The sequence below is a fragment of the Homo sapiens genome, chromosome 12 (assembly GCF_000001405.40).
Source record: "Homo sapiens chromosome 12, GRCh38.p14 Primary Assembly".
Classification (NCBI taxonomy): domain Eukaryota; kingdom Metazoa; phylum Chordata; class Mammalia; order Primates; family Hominidae; genus Homo; species Homo sapiens.
In genome coordinates this window covers 109,133,235-109,150,892 of record NC_000012.12, presented here as the reverse complement: position 1 = coordinate 109,150,892, position 17,658 = coordinate 109,133,235, and the positions used below count along the sequence as shown (strand labels likewise).

The 17,658-nt window shown below is 45.1% G+C and overlaps 1 protein-coding gene across 13 annotated transcripts in view; it reads right to left on the bottom strand.

The window, feature by feature from the left end:
• The window catches only part of ACACB (acetyl-CoA carboxylase beta), a 157,038-nt gene that overhangs the window by 117,334 nt on the left and 22,046 nt on the right, over positions 1–17,658 (bottom strand). For 9 of the 13 annotated variants that reach the window (XR_007063072.1, NM_001412734.1, XM_011538263.4 and 6 more), the window contains one exon: positions 10,835–11,496. The exons of the other annotated variants lie outside the window; for them this stretch is intronic. Coding sequence is in view for 8 of the 9 variants with exons in the window: in NM_001412734.1 (NP_001399663.1) it covers positions 10,835–11,487 (653 nt within the window). In the remaining variant the exon portion in view is untranslated. The remainder of the gene's footprint in view (positions 1–10,834; positions 11,497–17,658) is intronic. 13 annotated transcript variants of the gene reach the window in all.

Below are 17,658 nucleotides of genomic sequence, written 5' to 3'. Positions count from 1 at the left end.
CCCAGCCCCTTCCTAAGTCAATAAATGAATAAATTAAACATTACAGGAAGATCCTTGGCATTTCACTCAGGGGCGCATAAAAATATGCATAGACAATTTAGTTTCCTGACCTGTTCCTTGCTTGGAGCCGATAAGAGATGTGGGCTGGGATGACGAACAAGCAGCTGGGAGGCTGCACTGCAAGCCCACCCAGTCTGCTATCTGGGAAAGTGGGGGCGATGCCAGGTCCCTGGTGTCAGCTCCCTTTCCTGGTATTCCTTCACCTACCTTTGCCTGCAGGGCCCCCTCTGTATGTCCAGACCCCACAGAGCCTCATTTGCCTTCCTGGGATCCAAGGTCTGCCTTGCTAAACTGTTCTTACCTCAGTGATCCCAACATGGTCGTAAATGGTGGCGGGAAGGAACACTTCAGCACCCATCTGCTGTTTTGGACTTTATCCTTTTATCGGGACACTTCACCTGCCTTTTCAATCCTCTTCCTCCTCCGTGGACACAGGTTGCTACACCTTTAAGATGTAAGCCCGGCCAGGGCTTGGGAATAACCATGCGCACAGGCAAGAACTTTGGAAGAAGCCCACCCAACTAATGGCTACTGAACCACCTCTGGGCCGTCCACCCCCAGCACTTGCTCCCACTCGATCTCAACAATCTCCTAAAGTAGGCACTAGTATTATCCTGCCTCAACAGAGCAGGAAATTGCAGCTCAGACAGGTAACAGGAGAGGTCTGAATCCAGACCTGATTGTGGGTCCTGGGCTCTTATGCCGTGCACTGGATCTAATGACCATGATCGCACCATGGGTGCTGCTTCGAGTGCTGTACTTACAGCAACTCAATGAAGCCTGATCCCAACCCTGTGAGGGAGGTAACACGATGACTTCATTTCAGAGGAAACTGAGGCACAGAAAATCACAGAACTTGGCCCCAAGTCACATGATGGCTAGGTGGAGAAGCCAGCACACCAGCCCCCAGCCTCAGCCACCAGCGTGTTGTGCTCTTAACTATTCCACAGCTCTCTCTGTAAAAATGATGGGGAATGCCCTGGCCTGTGGGCTCTCAGACCCCTTGCCCTGGTCTCCCTAAGGACAGAGGCTGTATCTCACCATCTTTGCATCTGTAGTGCCAACTGACTGCCTGGCACCCAGAGGGGTTGCAATAACTGCTCCTGGGCCAACGAATGGATGGGACAAACCTTGACTTCCCCACCTACCATTTCATCCCTTAGTGTGTCCTCTCTCTTGCCTAGAACCCAGACTATCTGTGGTCATTTACCAGGGAGAAAATGGTTCTAAATTAACAATTTCCTTAAGAGAGATAGGGTCTTGCTCTGTTGCTCAGGCTGGGGTACACTGGCACAATCATAGCTCACTGCAGCCTCAAACTCCTGGGCTCAAACGATCCTCCCGCTTCAGCCTGCCTGTAAATTAACAAACTTTTCTGCCATTTTCCAGCTACTCTCCTTCTCTATCTCCCAGCCCCCTCCCTGCTGTCCATTCCTCCACATATAAAGGAACAAAGCCACCAACTGTTAGAGCCACAAAGAACCTCAGAGTGTCCAGTCTGGCCCCTGAGAAGGTAGATGATGTCCTCAAGCTCATACGACTTAAAGGTTATCCATAAACTACCCTAATCTCCCAACCCTTCCCACTAATAGAAAGAACAAGTTAGGAGGAGGACGGAGGTGCCCGTCCTGGAGTCCAAGCCTCTTACCCGCTGGGGGAAGGTTAGGCAGTGACACTAATACTAGCAGTTCGTTGACTGATTTCACATCCACATCTAACGAGGGTCTGGGTTCAAATGGTGCTCTGGGCCTCTGATTACCTTGCTGAGAGGCCTGGAATGTCTCTGGGCTTCAGCTTCCTATCTAGGAAGTGAGATGATTGGTTTACTCTTTCTCCCAATATTTTTATACTGTTTTATTATTATACATTGTTAAAATGCATTATAAAATGACATTTAGAGCAGAAAGTTAGAAAATGCAGAAGAAAATTTAAATCACTCATAATCATACCACATAAAATGATTATTTACTATTTGGAGACACTCTTTACAGTCCCTCTAAGACACACACATACAAACACATACGCATACACACACACACATTTATTAGGCACATTTACTAAGCAGAAGCATTTTTTGTGCTTACTATATGCCAGGAACTATTCTAAGCATGTTATATATAGTCCATAATCCCTTATCTGAAATTCCCAGGGCCTGATATGTTTTGGAACTTGGAAATTATTGTTTTTAGGAAGGTAAAACTTTCTGTTCCACATTATCATATTAATATTTCAGCAGCAGAATAGGATAAATAATTACTATACATAACCTCACATCAATTCAGGACAGGTTTTGCTGCCAAATGAGTTCACCACTAATTTATGAACTTCAATTTCATAGCTTTAAGTTTCAGGATTCCAGCTGCAATCTCAGCAATCCTGAACCTGTCCCATTCCATTCAGTCCACATGCGCACCCCACAGGGTCATACTAAGTCGGGGTACAAGCTAGGAAGAGGTAGCTTTGAACCTGAGTGTCTCATCATAGGCCCACTATGCACTACTAACCACATGCTGTTTGTCCAACAAAATGGGATCACACAGAACAGGAGGTTCTTGTAACCGTGCTCATTTCAGAGCATGTAAGCAGTGATTTTGCCACATCATGTAATGTTCTCATTAGCTCTGTTTCTAAGTGTTGCATGGGATTTCCAAACCTCAGGGACTGTTTCCAAGTCCAAGGAAAGGCCAAGTTCTAATCCCTGCCCTGAGATCAACCCAAAGGGGAGGAGATGGGAGGAGAGAGCTTAACGAGGTTGTTGGATTCATATTCTCAGCCAGCCCTTGCCAGCTGGGAGAAAGGAGAGAAAGGCTGAGTTTGCATGATCCTATCAAAGACAGAAGAAAAATTTAAAATTGGAGTTTCACCCCAGAACTAGTCTCCAAAGTCACAAGATACAAGGAGAAAGAATTTTATGAAAACAAAAATTTACTGCTGCTAAAGAGCAACAACTATAAAATGCCTATTCACCTGTTAATTAATTAATTAATCCATTCATTCATTCATCCATTCATTCATCCATTCGTTCATCCATTCCCACACTCATTCATCACATGTTTTACATTCCCCCGTAATGCAGAATTCTGTCTTTGGCAAGCTTGTTGCAGCTCATTTCATTCATGTATTTAGCAGATATTCAAAGCCTACCATGAGCCAGCACCAGCCTAGGCAGTGGGGAAAAACAGAGACCACTATAACTATGGCCCTGGCTTCACGGAACTTGCTTCCAGTGTAGGGAGACAGGTAATAACCAAGTAGATCATAAAAAAATAAAAGACGTAATCTTTTAGGAGCCGGTTGTGGAGGTTCACACCTGTAATCCCAGCACTTTGGGAGGCCGAGGTGGGTGGATTGCTTGAACTCAGGAGTTCAAGACCAGCCTAGCCAACATGGTGAAACCCAGTGTCTACTAAAAATACTAAAAAAAAAAAAAAAAAAAAAAAAGTAGCCAGACATGGTGATGCATGCCTGTAGTCCCAGCTTCTCAGGAGGCTGATGTGGGAGGATTTCTTGAGCCTGTGGGGTTGCAGTGAGCTGAGATCACACCACAGCACTCCAGCCTGGGTGACAGAGTGAAACTGTGTCAAAACAAACAAACAAACAAACAAACAAAAACAGACATAATCTCAAGAAATAATTAAATGTTGCAAAGACAACTAATCAGAGTGATTGATAAAGATACTGAAGGTAATTGGGGGGTAGATTTTTTAAATGTGAGAAAGGGACAGGGAAGGCCCTTTGAGGAAGTGACTCTGATGGGCAAAGAGCTAGCAGTAGAGGCAGGACCGGCTACAGAATTTGCAGGACCCAGTGCAAAATGAAAACACAGAGCCCCTTGTTGAAAAATTATTGTGAATTTGGGGCTGGGTGCAGTGGCTTATTCCTGTAATCCCAGTACTTTGGGAGGCCGAGGTGGGCAGATTGCTTGAGCTCATGAGATTCCGACCAGCCTGAGCAAAATGGCAAAACCTCATCTTTACCAAAAATAAAAAAATTAGCCAGCTGTGGTGGCACGTGCCTGTAGTCCCAGCTAGTCAGGAGGCTGAGACGGGAGGATCACTTGAGCCCAGGAAGTCAAAGCTGCAGTGAGCCATGACCATGCTACTGCACTCCAGCCTGGGTATCAGAGCAAGATCATGTCTCAAAAAACAAAATAAAAAAGAATCTCAAGACGGCGACAACAAAGCGTCAAAACAAGCACGGGGTCCCTTGAAGCACAGGGCATGCCTGTGAAGCTGGCCCTGGTGGGAGGTCTGGGTTCAGGGGTTGGGAGAAAGAGAGTGTTTCAGTTCAGAGGGAACCCAGTGCGAACTCCCAAAACAGGAACACAGTTGTGAGAACTCTGGGATGCTCTGGGCACTGCAGGAAGGAGACAGCCCCTTGAAGACTGCTTCAGAAAGAGCTTCCTCCCAAATCACAGACTTAACACAAGCATTTTCCATCCTTGCCTTGCCAGTCTCCCAGCTACTGGCCTGGCAGGAAGAGGTGAATGTAGGAAGTGGCCTTCCAGGGCAGAGCAGCAGTGAAGTGACTGCCCAAGGAAACTGCAGAGAGCAGAAGCAGATCCACAAATACAAGTCACTTCTTCACTGTGGCTTCCACGTGAGTCAGAACCCTCAAATAAATACCCCTGGCCTCTTCTCCCAGGCCTTAGTTGTTTGTCTTGGAAATGGGGCAAGGGTTGGATCCTGTCTGGAAGGACTAGCTTAAACCTCTAGCCCCTGCTTCCATTTTGCAGAAACAGGACCTCAAACGGTTAGAAGATTTGCCAGAGGATACAGATTATTTAGCAACTTATCAAGAAAAAATAATAATAATTTTTTTTTCGAGTCAGAGTCTCACTCTGTTGCCCAGGCTGGAGTGCAGTGGCGTGGTCTTGGCTCACTGCAACCTCTGCCTCCCAGGTTCAAGTGATTCTCCTAACTCAGCCTCCTGAAGAGCTGGGATTACAGGCACCTGCCACCACGCCCAGCTAATTTTTCTATTTTTTTTTTTTTTTAGTAGAGATGGGGTTTTGCCGTGTTGGCCAGGCTGGTCTCAAACTCCTGACCTTGTGATCCGCCCCCCTCGGCCTCCCAAAGTGCTGGGATTACAGGCATGACCTGCCGTGCCTGGCCTCAAGAAAAATAATATTTTTTTTCAGAAGGAGTTCCTGGATTCAGCTAACAGGGATTCTTGCTCACTGTATTTGCCTTTTTGGGTCAGGCTTCCTTTCCTCAGTGCTCCAGCTGGTTACAGGCAACTGGCTGGCTGGCCTGCATGCACCACCCTTAAATATAATTTATGCTTGTTCTCACTTATAAGTGGAGCTAAATAAAGTGTACACATGGACCTAAAGAGTAGAATAATAGATACTGGAGATTTGGAAAGGTGGCATGGTGGGAAGGGGTAAGGAATGACAAATTACCTAATAGATACAATGTACACTATGCAAGCAATGGCTCGTAAAAGCCCAGGCTTCACCACTGGGAATTATATCCAAGTGACAAAACTGAACTTGTACCCCCCAAATCTAAAAAATTAAAACAAAATTTTAATATATGGGAGGCCATGATTTTGAGCTGAGCTCCTGTGCTTAGCCCCTACAGACCAAACCAAAACGACGGATCACTCCTGGCCAACTGCCTCGCAATCAGTCTGAACTTTGAAACTGACCAGTTTTCCAAAAAACAATAGCAACCAATCAGAAGGGGTCCAGTGTACCTGAGCCAACATGATAAGAAAGTTGCATTTGTTTTAACCCTGAAGGGAAAGTCATTTTGAAACTATGAAGCGGGCCGGGCGCAGTGGCTCACGCCTGTAATCCCAGCACTTTGGGAGGCCTAGACAGGTGGATCACGACGTCAGGAGATGGAGACCAGCCTAGCTAATATGGTGAAACCCCATCTCTACTAAAAATATAAAAAATTAGCCAGGCATGGTGGCATGTGCCTGTAGTCCCAGATACTCAGGAGGCTGAAGCAGAAGAATCACTTGAACCCGGGAGGCAGAGGTTGCAGTGAGCCGAGATTGTGCCATTGCACTCCAGCCTCCAGCCTGGGTGACAGAGCAAGACTCTGTCTCAAAAAAAAAAAAAAAAAAGAAAGAAAGAAAGAAAAAGAAAAAGAAAGAAACTATGAAGCTCCCCTTTGTCCCTTGTTTCTGCTTTCTTCAGCCCTGTTCTGCCTATAAAGCCAAGCTCCTCTCTGCTCAGCTCTTCGGAAGACCCATTCTATTTTACAGAATGAGGTGCTGCATGATCCTAGAATTGTAAATAAAAGCCAATTCGAGTTTTAAATCAAATTTGCTGTGATTTTGTCTTTTGACACCACCTTCCATGGCCTACACCCAAAACTGCTTGGGTGTTGACCTGTGAACACCAGGGAAGAGGTATTACTACCCTGCCTGTATGTGTGCAAAAGAGTCAATGGGTAACCAGCAAACACCAGGCTACCACGGATCCCAAAGATGCCAAAATCCAAAGCCAAAAGCTCTACAAGATAATAAAATGCTCAGCCTCATTTTATTTATTTATTTATTTATTGAGACAGAGTCTCACTCTGTTGCCCATGCTGGAGTGTAGTGGCGTGATCTCAGCTCACTGCAACCTCCACCTCCTGAGTTCAGGCGATTCTCCCACTTCAGCCTCCTGAGTAGCTGGGACTACAGGCGTGCACCACCATGCCTGGCTAATTTTTTGTAGTTTAATAGAGATGGGGTTTCACCATGTTGCCCAGGCTGGTCTTGAACTCCTGAGCTCAGGCAATCCACCCACCTCAGCCTCCCAAAGTACTAGGATTACAGGTGTGAGCCACCTTACCTGGCCTCATTTTATTTTTTATTTTTATTTTTTGTAGAGACAGGGTCTCATTATGTTGCCCAGGCTGCTCTCAAACTTCTGGGCTCAAGGGATCCTCCCACCTCAGTCTCCCCAAACGCGTGAGTCACCATGCTGGACCTCAGCCTCATTTTGATATGCGTTGTTTCCAACAGGCTGGAACACCAGGTTTGGACATAATTTTTTCATCCAGTCAAACACCAGAGGCAGCAGGCACCAGCACACATGTCTAAGGCTTGACTCCCTGAAGATTCTTTGATGTGGGATTCTCACTACAGTTCATTAGAAACAACAAGCACACATGAGTCTTCTCTGTCAGAAGCCCCTGATTCTGGGGCTGGGAATGTTCCTTGAGGAAGTGCCAGTGTCTCAGGAGGTGCCAGCAGAACCACCCGCATTGCCCCTGGGTGCTAAAATTCTAAATTCTCAACTCTGAAAATGCACACATACCGGGGACAAAATAACTAACTGTATGTCAGTGAGCTTTAGGGCCACAGGTCACATCTCAGGAGTCTGGTGCAGCCTCCTCATTCATTTTTTTTTTTTTTTTTTTTTTGAGACAGGGTCTGCCTGTGTCACCCAGGCTGGGATGCAGTGGGGCAATCTCAGCTCACTGCAACCTCTGCCTCCTGGGCTTAAGTGATTCTCCCACCTCAGCCTCCCTAGTAGCTGGGACTATAGGTGCATACCACCACAACTGGCTAATTTTTATATTTTTTTGTAGAGATGAGGTTTTGCCATGTTGCCCAGGCTGGTCTTGAACTCCTGAGCTCAAGCAATCCACCCACCTCGGCCACCCAAAGTGCTGGAATTACAGGTATGAGCCATCAGGCCCAGCCTCAGCCTCCTCATTCTAAAGATGATAAATTGGAGACTCAGAGAGGGGAAGGGACTCACCCAAGTTCATGCAGCACATCACTCCTTCGTTCACCATATCATAGCCTTTGAATCGCCCACAATCCTACAATGTCATTCAGCTCCACATTCACTGCCTTTCCAAGATCCCTCTGTCCCTCCTGCCAGCTGTTTGCTGGGACAAAGTAAGGATAAAAGATTGATCTACAATGTTAGGTTTCTATGCCATGAAGACACGAGGGCAGGAAATTCACTCAACATTTTGGTTTCATTTTCCCTATGAAAGATAGTTAAGTAGGCTAGACGTGATGGCTCATGCCTGTAATTCCAGCACTTTGGGAGGCCAAGGCGGGTGGATCACTTGAGGTCAGGAGTTCAAGACCAGACTGGCCAACATGGTGAAACCCCGTCTCTACTAAAAATACAAAAATTAGCCAGGTGTGGTGGCACACGCCCATAATTCCAGCTACTTGGGAGGCTGAAGCAGGAGAATTGCTTGAACCCGGGAGGCAGAGGTTGCTGTGAGCCAAGATCATGCCACTGCACTCCAGCCTGGGTGACAGAGTGAGACTCTGTCCAAAAAAATAAAAAAAGAAGAAAGAAAGAGAAAGAGAGAGATAGTTTTCGCCTTTATAAATGTACCAGCTCAGAAAAACCTTGGTTTAAGCTCAAACCAGTAAAGACCCCTCAAAATGGTGGCAGGAAGACAGTGGGTGGAAAGGTGGGAGACTTGCCCCCCTTTCTATTTATTATCTACCAAATATGGATGCTTTATTCTCTTGCCAAGTACCTGAGAAATATTAGTTCATTTAATCTTCACGACTATTTTGGCATCCAAGACTCAGGAAATAGTAATAATAATAATCATGTTATAAGTTTGTTGGTTTGATACATTCTTTTTTGTTTTTTTATTTTGAGACAGAGTCTTGCTCTGTTGCCCAGGCTGGAGTGCAGTGGCACAATTATAGCTCACTATAACCACAAACTTCTGGGCTCAAGTGACCCTCCTGCTTCAGCCTCTCAAGTAGCTAGAACTATAGGTATGCACCACAATGTCTGGCAAATTCTTAATTTTTTTTTTAGAGATGAGGTCTCACTATATTGCCCAGGCTGGTCTTGAACTCCTGGCCTCAAGCGATCCTCCTGCCTCATCCTCCCAAAGTGCTGGAATTACAGGTGTGAGCCACCATGCCTGCCTACATTATCCCATTTAATCCCTTCCACATTTTACAGAGGTACTGGGGCCTGGAGAGGTGAAGGGTCATGCCCAAGGTCACACAGTAGGGGGTGGCAGAGCCAAAGACTGAACCCCACTCCAGCTGACTCCACAGACTGTGCTCTTTGTACTAGATTCTGAGACTTTCTCTTCCCTTAACCCTTCTAGAAACTCAAACACTCTTCCCCTGAAAAGTTTCAGTATATGGAATACTTTCCTCCTCCTTTTTCTCTGTCTTCTACTTCCAGCTACCAGGGTTAAAACCAAGCTCACTGCTAACATGGACATGTATGGAAGACCACCTCTAGATTTTTCTAATTTGGGAGAGAGTACAGGAGATGCTTAAAAGAATAGCCAGTAAAACTTCACTCCAGAGGAGAAAAACACACTAGAAGGAAGAAGTAGAACAATGAGAACAGAGGTTTCCCTCTGGCTGGTGAAGTTTTGGTTGGTGGCTCTTTTCTTCTCTCTGTTCTCCTATATTTCCCAAATTTTCTACCTGGAAGTGCTGTATTCCATTTGTAATTTGGGGATGGCAGAGGAGAAGGTGGATAACAACAACATCAACAACAAAGCCACTGACTGCAGCCGCTGGGATAGTCCCACCTGTTATGAACCTACAGGCATTCATTTCCAACAATCAAATTGATGGAGACCTTTAGAGTGTTTGAGTTTCTGCTTTTCAGGCATCACTGGGGGAAGGCTGGTTTTTCAGTTGTCAGTTACCTGCTGAATGAATGAATGAATGAATGGGCTGGGTGTGGTGGCTCATGCCTGTAATCCCAGCACTTTGGGAGACCGAGGATCGCTTGAGTCCAGGAGTTGGAGACCAGCCTGGGCAATATGGTGAGATTCCCATTTCTATAAAAAATTTAAAAATTAGCTAGGTGTGGTGGTGCACACCTGTAGTCCCAGCTACCCAGGAGTGCACTGAGGTGGGAGGATTGCTTGAGCCCGGGAGTTTGAGGTTGTAGTGAGCTATGATCCTACCAGTACACTCAGCTAACAGAGTGACAGAGTAAGACCCTGTCTCAAAAAAAAAAAAAAAAAAAAAAAAGAATGAATGAATCAATGTCTCTTCAGGAGGCAGAGAGAACTGCCCCTCCCTCTAGACTACCATCATCACTTGTGGCTCTTGCCAGCCTTGGCTCATTCAGCTTAAATTATAACTAAACACAAGGTCATCTTCCCCAACTAGGCTGAGGTCTTCTAGAAAGTCAGTTTCATGGCATCGAGCCCTGTGCATGCAGTAGATGCACAAGGAATGATTTCTTTCCTTTTTTCCTTTTTTGAGACAAGGTCTCGCCCTGTCACCCAGGCTGGAGTGCAGTGACGTGATCTCAGCTCACTGCAACCTCCACTTCCTGGGTTCAAGAGATTCTCCCGCCTCAGCCTTCCAAGCAGCTGGGATTACAGGCACACGCCTGCATGCCTGGTGAATTTTTGTATTTTTAGTAGAAACGGAGTTTCACCATGTTGGCCAGGCTAGTCTTAAACTCCCGACCTCAAGTGATCTGCCTGCCTTGGCCTCCCAAAGTGCTGGGATTACAGGCATGAGCCACTGTGCCCAGCCTCAAGGAATGATTTTGAAAGGAGGGAAGGAAGGAAGGAAGGAAGGAAGGAAGGAAGGAAGGAAGGAAGGAAGGAAGGAAGGAAGGAAGGAAGGAAGGAAGGAAAGAAGGAAGGAAGGATGGAAGGAAGGAAGGAAGGAAGGAAGGAAGGAAGGAAGGAAACTTCTGAGAAGGCTCGTGTCTTCTCCTTTTGTGCATAGCCACCCTTGAAGCTTTGGCATCAGCAAACAGCTTGATCAAGGTGGGCACAGGTTGGGAAGGGTGTGGACCCCACCTGAACTCTGCACTCCTCAGTTACAAGGAGAAAATGCACATTACCTCATAGTGGGGACGCGGGTCTCAGCTTCACCTGTGGTCAGATAAGCCTCCAGGGACAGGGCCCCCAAGCTGGCCCGGCTGCCCTTCCGGGTAGACTCACGAGATGAGCCAGCAACAGAGTCCTCGTCGGAGGAGTAGTCATCAAAAGAGCCCAGGATGAAGTTGGTCATCAGCTGCCTCTTGATGTTTGCCTGCTTCTTGTCTTCTTTGGAGGGGGAGCCAGCTTGCTGGCCCTGGGGCCTGGCTGAGGAGGACAGGCCATTGGTATCTGTGGCCTCCAGACCTTGTGTCCCAGTCCCGTTGGCTTGAAGCTCTGGGGAGGGTGCTGCGTCACTGGAAGAAAGGGGGTTTCTTGGGGGCTTCTGGTGGGAGGGTGGTAGGGAGTTTCTCCGCCGACCGGCATCTTTGGGGCCTTTGTGGGAGGCTGGCTCGGCCTGGCTGGGTGTCTTGGGCAGAGTGTGGCCCTCCCCATTTCTCTGCGGTGTCTCCCCTGAGTTATCAGAGGCTGGAAAGGGCTCCTGGCTCGGGATGAGGTTTGCTTCTGATTTACTCTTGGTGATCGGCTTGGAGTCCGTCATTTTCCCCCAGATTTTTAACCAGGAAAAGGTCAGACAGGAGAAAATCAGACAAGATAGACAAAGAAGCAAGACCATTCAGAAAATCTGTAAGGAGAAAAGGAGAGACATTTTAGGATTTACATAATCAAGTGATTTCTCTCCTAAAGAAGCTAGTGGGGCAGGAGGCTGTTGGGGTGCTGTGTATTCCTGAAATACTGGACGAGGGGAGAGATGGGGTTCTCCTCCCTGCTCTGCCTGAAACAGGCTTGGACATATTCCTTCACCCCTCTGGATCTTAGTTTCCTGCCAAGGTTCAAGGAAGAACCTTGAAAACTGCTAAGTTAAAGAAGCCAATCACAAAAGGTCACATATTATACGATTCCAAGTATATGAAGTGTGCAGAACAGGCCAATCTTGAGAGACAGAAAACAGATTAGTGGTTGCCAGGACCTAGTGGGATGGGGATGATGGCTACAGAGTGTAGGGTTTCTGTTTGGGATGATGAAAATGTTCTAAAGCAGATTGAGGTGATGGTTGTACAGCTCTGTGAATACAGTTAAAAAACATTGACTTGTCCTTTACATGAGTGGATTGTATGCCATGTGAATTATCTCTCAATAAAGCTGGGGTTTTTTTGTTTTTTTGTTTTGAGATGCAGTCTCCCTTTGTTGCCCAGGCTGGAGTGCAGTGCCGCAATCTCTGCTCACTGCAAACTCCGCCTCCTGGGTTCAAGCAATTCTGCCTCAGCCTCCTGAGTAGCTTGGGCTACAGGCATGCACCACCATGCCTAGCTAATTTTTGTATTTTTGTGGAGACAGAATTTCACCATGTTGACCAGGTTGCTCTCTAACTCCTGACCTTGGCTTCCCAAAGTGCTAGGATTACAGACGTGACCCACCGCGCCCAGCCAAAGCTGTTATTTTTTTTTTTTAAAGACTCTTAATTATATTCCACTTTATAAATGAAAGGGAATTGTTGCTTCTGTCATCATCATCATCATTCTAGTATTATTATCATATAGTCAGTCACCATCATGGCCCTGGAGGGAGGAAGGGCGCCATCATCCCCAGTGTGGGGTATGCTTACAACTAGCATAGAAGCCCAACAAGCCTCGGGAGACTGTTTTCTGTTGCAGGGTCTAGACCAGTGCCTGGTATGCAATGAGGGCTTACAAGTGTGTATTGAAAGAATGAACCCAGGTATTCCAATCTCTAAGCCACACCTCTTTCTATCACCCTAACTCTGCCCTACTAATGAGTAGATCATTGTTATTTGAAGGAAATCTTGTTTTAAAAATGAGCCCAGTGCGGTGGCTCATGCCTGTAATCCCAGCACTTTGGGAGGCTGAGGCGGGCAGATCACCTGAGGTTGGGAGTTTGAGACCAGCCTGGCCAACATGGTGAAGCCCTGTCTGTACTAAAAATAAAAATACAAAAATTAGCTGGGCATGGAGGTGGGTGCCTGTAATTCCAGCTACTCGGGAGTCTGAGGCATGAGAATCACTTGAACCTGGAGGTGGAGGTTGCAGTGAGCTGAGATCATGCAACTGCATTCCAGCCCGGGCAACAGAGTGAGACTTGGTCTCAAAAACAAAAAAAAAAAGAAAAAGAAAAGAAAAGCCCAGGAGGCAGAGGTTGAAATGAGCTAAGATGGCACCACTGCACTCCAGCCTGGACAACAGAGTGAGACCCTATTTCAAAAAAAATTTTTAAATGGGACCTCTCTCTATGTGTTGAAATTTCTGAACCAATTTTGCCACAATTATATACTAGAAGCATTACAAAAGTGGACCACAAAGCTCAGCAGGTCAATTTGGTATCTAAAAATCCTTTTTTTTTTTTTGAGTCAGAATCTGACCCTGTCGCCCAGGTGGGAGCATAGTGGCGTAATCTCAGCTCACTGCAACCTCTGCCTCCTGGGTTCAAGAGATTCTTGAGCCTCAGCCTCCCTAGTAGCTGGGATTACAGGTGCCCCCCACCATGCCCGGCTAATTTTTGTATTTTTTGTAAAGATGGGGTTTCACCATGTTGGCTAGGCTGGTGTCTAACTCCTGACCTCAAGTGATCCGCCCACCTCTGCCTCCCAAAGTGCTAGGATTACAGGCGTGAGACACTGTGCCCTGCCATAAAGCTTTTTCTTTTTAAATTTCAACACAATGTTTTTAAAGGAAGTGGAAAAGTTCTCAATATTTCCCAGAACTAAACAATCCAAGTACTTCTTACACACTTTCAGCAGCAGAATTTGCTGATATGTTGCCAAGGCTATTTTCTAGGTAGTACACAGGGTCAGAGGGGTTTTTTCCTTTCAAGATCATCATGTGTTTTTTTTAAAGAAAAGTCAGTCAAGGGTGGCTCAATGTCAATGTAACATGCCACATTAATGGAACAAAGGGAAAAAAACCACATGATCATCCCAATTGATGCAGGAAAAGCATTTGACAAAATCCAACACCCTTTCATGATAACAACATTCAGAAAATTAGGAACAGAAGGGAACTGCAACTTAATAAAGTACATTTATGAAAAATCCACAGCTAACATCATACTAAATGGGGAAAGGCTGATAGCTTTAACCAGGAATAAGACAAGGATGCCCACTTTCACCAGTGCTATTCAACACTGTACTGGAAGTTCTAGACAAACCAATTAGACAATAAAATGAAATAAAAGACATAGAGATTAGGAAGGAAGAAGTAAAGCCACCCCTATTCACAGATTACATGGTCCTATATGTAGAAAGTGCCAGATAATACACACACAGAAAACCTTGGTATTGTAGAGGTAATAAAAATAATTAAGCAAAGTTGCAGGATACAAGATAAATACACAAAAATAGTTGTGTTTCTATACACCAGTGGTAAATAATCTGAAAAAGAAATTAAGAAAACAATTCCATTTATAATAGCATTCAAAAGAATAAAACACCTAGAAATAAATATGTTTAATTTCAATGTTTCCTTTTTCTATTATTGCCTATCACACTTGTTTCCTACCTAGGAATAAATTTAACCAAAGAAGTGAAAGACCTGCACACTGAAAACTACAAAACATTACTAAAAGAAATTAAAGAAGAATTAAATAAATGGAAAGACATACCTTGCTCATGGATTGGAAGACTTATTGTTAAGATGTCCATATTATCCAAAGGAATATACAGATTTATATGGAATTTCAAGAGGCCCCAATCAGCCAAAACAATCTTAAAAAATATGTTTGAAGATTCACATTTCCCAATTTAAAAACTTACTACAAAGCTATGGTAAACAAAACAGCATGGTATTTGGCATAAGATAGACATATAGATCAATGGAATAGAAACCTATACATCTATGGTCAATCTATTTTTGACATGGATATCAAGACCATCCAATGGAGAAAGAATGATCTCTTCAGGCCAGGCATGGTGGCTCATGCCTGTAATCCCAGCACTTTGGGAGGCTGAAGCAGGTGGATCACGAGGTCAGGAGATCAAGACTATCCTGGCTAACATGGTGAAACCCCATCTCTACTAAAAATACAAAAAAATTTAGCCAGGCATGGTGGCAGGCACCTGTAGTCCCAGCTACTTGGGAGACTGAGGAAGGAGAATGGCGTGAACCCGGGAGGCAGAGCTTGCAGTGAGCCGAGATCGCACCACTGCACTCCAGCCTGGGCGACAGAGCAAGACTCCGTCTCAAAAAAAAAAAAAAAAAAAGTATTACCTCTTTAACACCACATGGTGCTGGAACAACTGGATTTCCACATGCACAAGAATAAAAAGTTGGACCCCTACTTCATACCACATACAATCATTAACTCAAAATGGATCAAAGACCTAAATATAAAAGCTAAAACCACAAACCTCTTAGAAGAAAACATAGAAGTAATTCATCATGACCTTGGATTTGTCAATTGATTCTTAGATATGACACCACAAGCATTGGATGCTTCTTGATGAAGTCCAATTTACCATAAGAAAAAATAGGTAAATTGGACTTCATCAAGATTAAAAGCTTTCGTGAATCATAGGATGCTATCAAGAAAGTGAAAAGATAACCTACAGAATGGGAGGACCACTTGCAAACCATATATCTAATAAGAGTCTAGTGCCCAGAATGTATAAAGAACTCCTAAAACTCAACAACAAAAAGACAACCCAATTTTTAAGTGGACAAAAGACTCGGATAGACATTGCTCCAATGAAGATATACAAATGGTCAATAAATAGATGAAAAGATATTCAACATGCTTAGGTGTCAGGAAAATGCAAATCATATAATCACAGTGAGATACCACTTCACATGCACTGGGATGGCTATAACCCAAAAGAGAGAGAGAGAGAATAACAAGTGTTGGTGAAGAGGTACAGAAATTGGAACTCTTAACCATTGCCAGTAGGAATTTAAAATGTTGTAGCCGTTGTGGAAAAAAGTCTGGTGGTTCCTTAAAAAGTTGAACATAGAATTATCATATGATCCAGCAATCTCACTCCTAGGTATATCCCAAAAGAATTGAAAACAACGACTCAAACAAATACATAGCAGTACTATGGGTATCTTTCTGATGCCCAAGCCTTGTTCTTACCCCAGGATTTCTCAACCATGGCACTACTGATATTTAGGGTTGGAAAATTCTTTGTGGTGGGGGCTGTCCTGTGCATTATAGTATGTAGAGCAACACCCTTGACCTCTGCCTGTTTGATGCCAGTAGCATCTACCTCCATCAGCTGGGACAACCAAAACATCTCCAGACATTGACAAATGTCCCATGGGAGGCAAAACTGCCCTTTGGTTGTGAATCTCTGGTCTCAACTCCTCTGCCTAGTCCTTGCCTTCCCGTCTCCTTTTGCCTCTGAATGGTGAGCTAGGAACCTCTGGGGACAAAGTCTATTTCATACTATTACTATTTCTCTTGTGCATAGTAAATTCTCAAGAAAATCTTTAAAATTGTCTGCAAGAAAGGTCCGAGTCCTGAAACAGCTGGCTCACACATGCCCTCAGGAAAAATTTTGAAATTAACAACAGCCAGAGAACATTGCCAAAAATGTTGCAAAAGCTATCCCGGCTTCCCCAGAGGCCCAACAGATTAAATCCTACATCCTCCCCAGGAAAGGAGGGCATACGGGGCCCTCTAAACCTGACCCCTGCTGAATGGCCACTCCCTCTCATGCCCTCTGCTGGCCACAGTGGCCAAATGCTTTAGAAATTCGGCAGTCCACTCCCTTGGGGCTCTTTGCCCAGTCCATCCTGGCCTGGGAGGCCTGGGTACAGACTTCCATCATGATGACACAGAAAACATGGCATGGAAGTGGCTTGTTCGGTTGTCTGTTCTCCCTGACCGACTGGGTGGTGCTTGGGGACATAGACCAAGTGTCATTCATTTTGGATCCTTGTACCCAGCTTGGTGCTTGGCACAGAGTAAGAGCTCAAAAACTGTGTGTAAGCTGGGGGCAATGGCTACGTCTGTAATCCCAACACTTTGGGAGGCCAAGGCGGGAGGCTCACTTGAGCCTGGGACATCAAGACTACAGTGAGCCATGATGGCACCAATGCACTCCAGCCTGGGCAACCAAGTGAGATCCTGTCTCAAAAAAACAAAACAAAACAAATGAAAAAAAAAAAACCTGTGTGCTGAAAAAATGAAAAAAAAAAAAAAAAAAATATATATATATATATATATATATATATGCACACACATTGAGCACCAACCAATGTCTTGAACCAAGCTGGAATTTTGATTTTTAAAGTTTTCATTTCTGAAACTGCATTCAGGAACACCAAGAGAATGAGCCAAGTATCTCCATGACAGTTTTGAAAGAAAGGGCTGAAGAGAACAACTCATACAAATGCGACCAATCTTAGGCAAATTTTAAATGTGTGCATTTGAAATTGTGAGATATAAGAAACAGCAGGTGCATAAAATTGATAGGGTGGGCATCCCTCTACCCCAGTTAAAAAATACTTGAATTATTGCTTAGAAAAGTGCAGCATCAAGGCCAGGCACGGTGGCTCATGCCTGTAACCCCAGCACTTTCAGAGGCCAAGGTGGGCAGATCTCTTGAGCTCAGGAGTTTACAACCTGCCTGGGCAACATGGCGAAACCCCGTCTCCACAAAAAATATAAAAATTAGCCATGGGCAGTGGTGTGTGCCTGTAGTCCCAGGTACTCAGGAGGCTGAGGCAGGAGAATTGCTTGAGCTCAGGAGGGGGAGGTTGCAGTGAGCCAAGATCACGCCACTGCACTCCAGCCTGGGCAACGAGAGAGAGAGAGAGAGAGAGAGAGAAAGAGA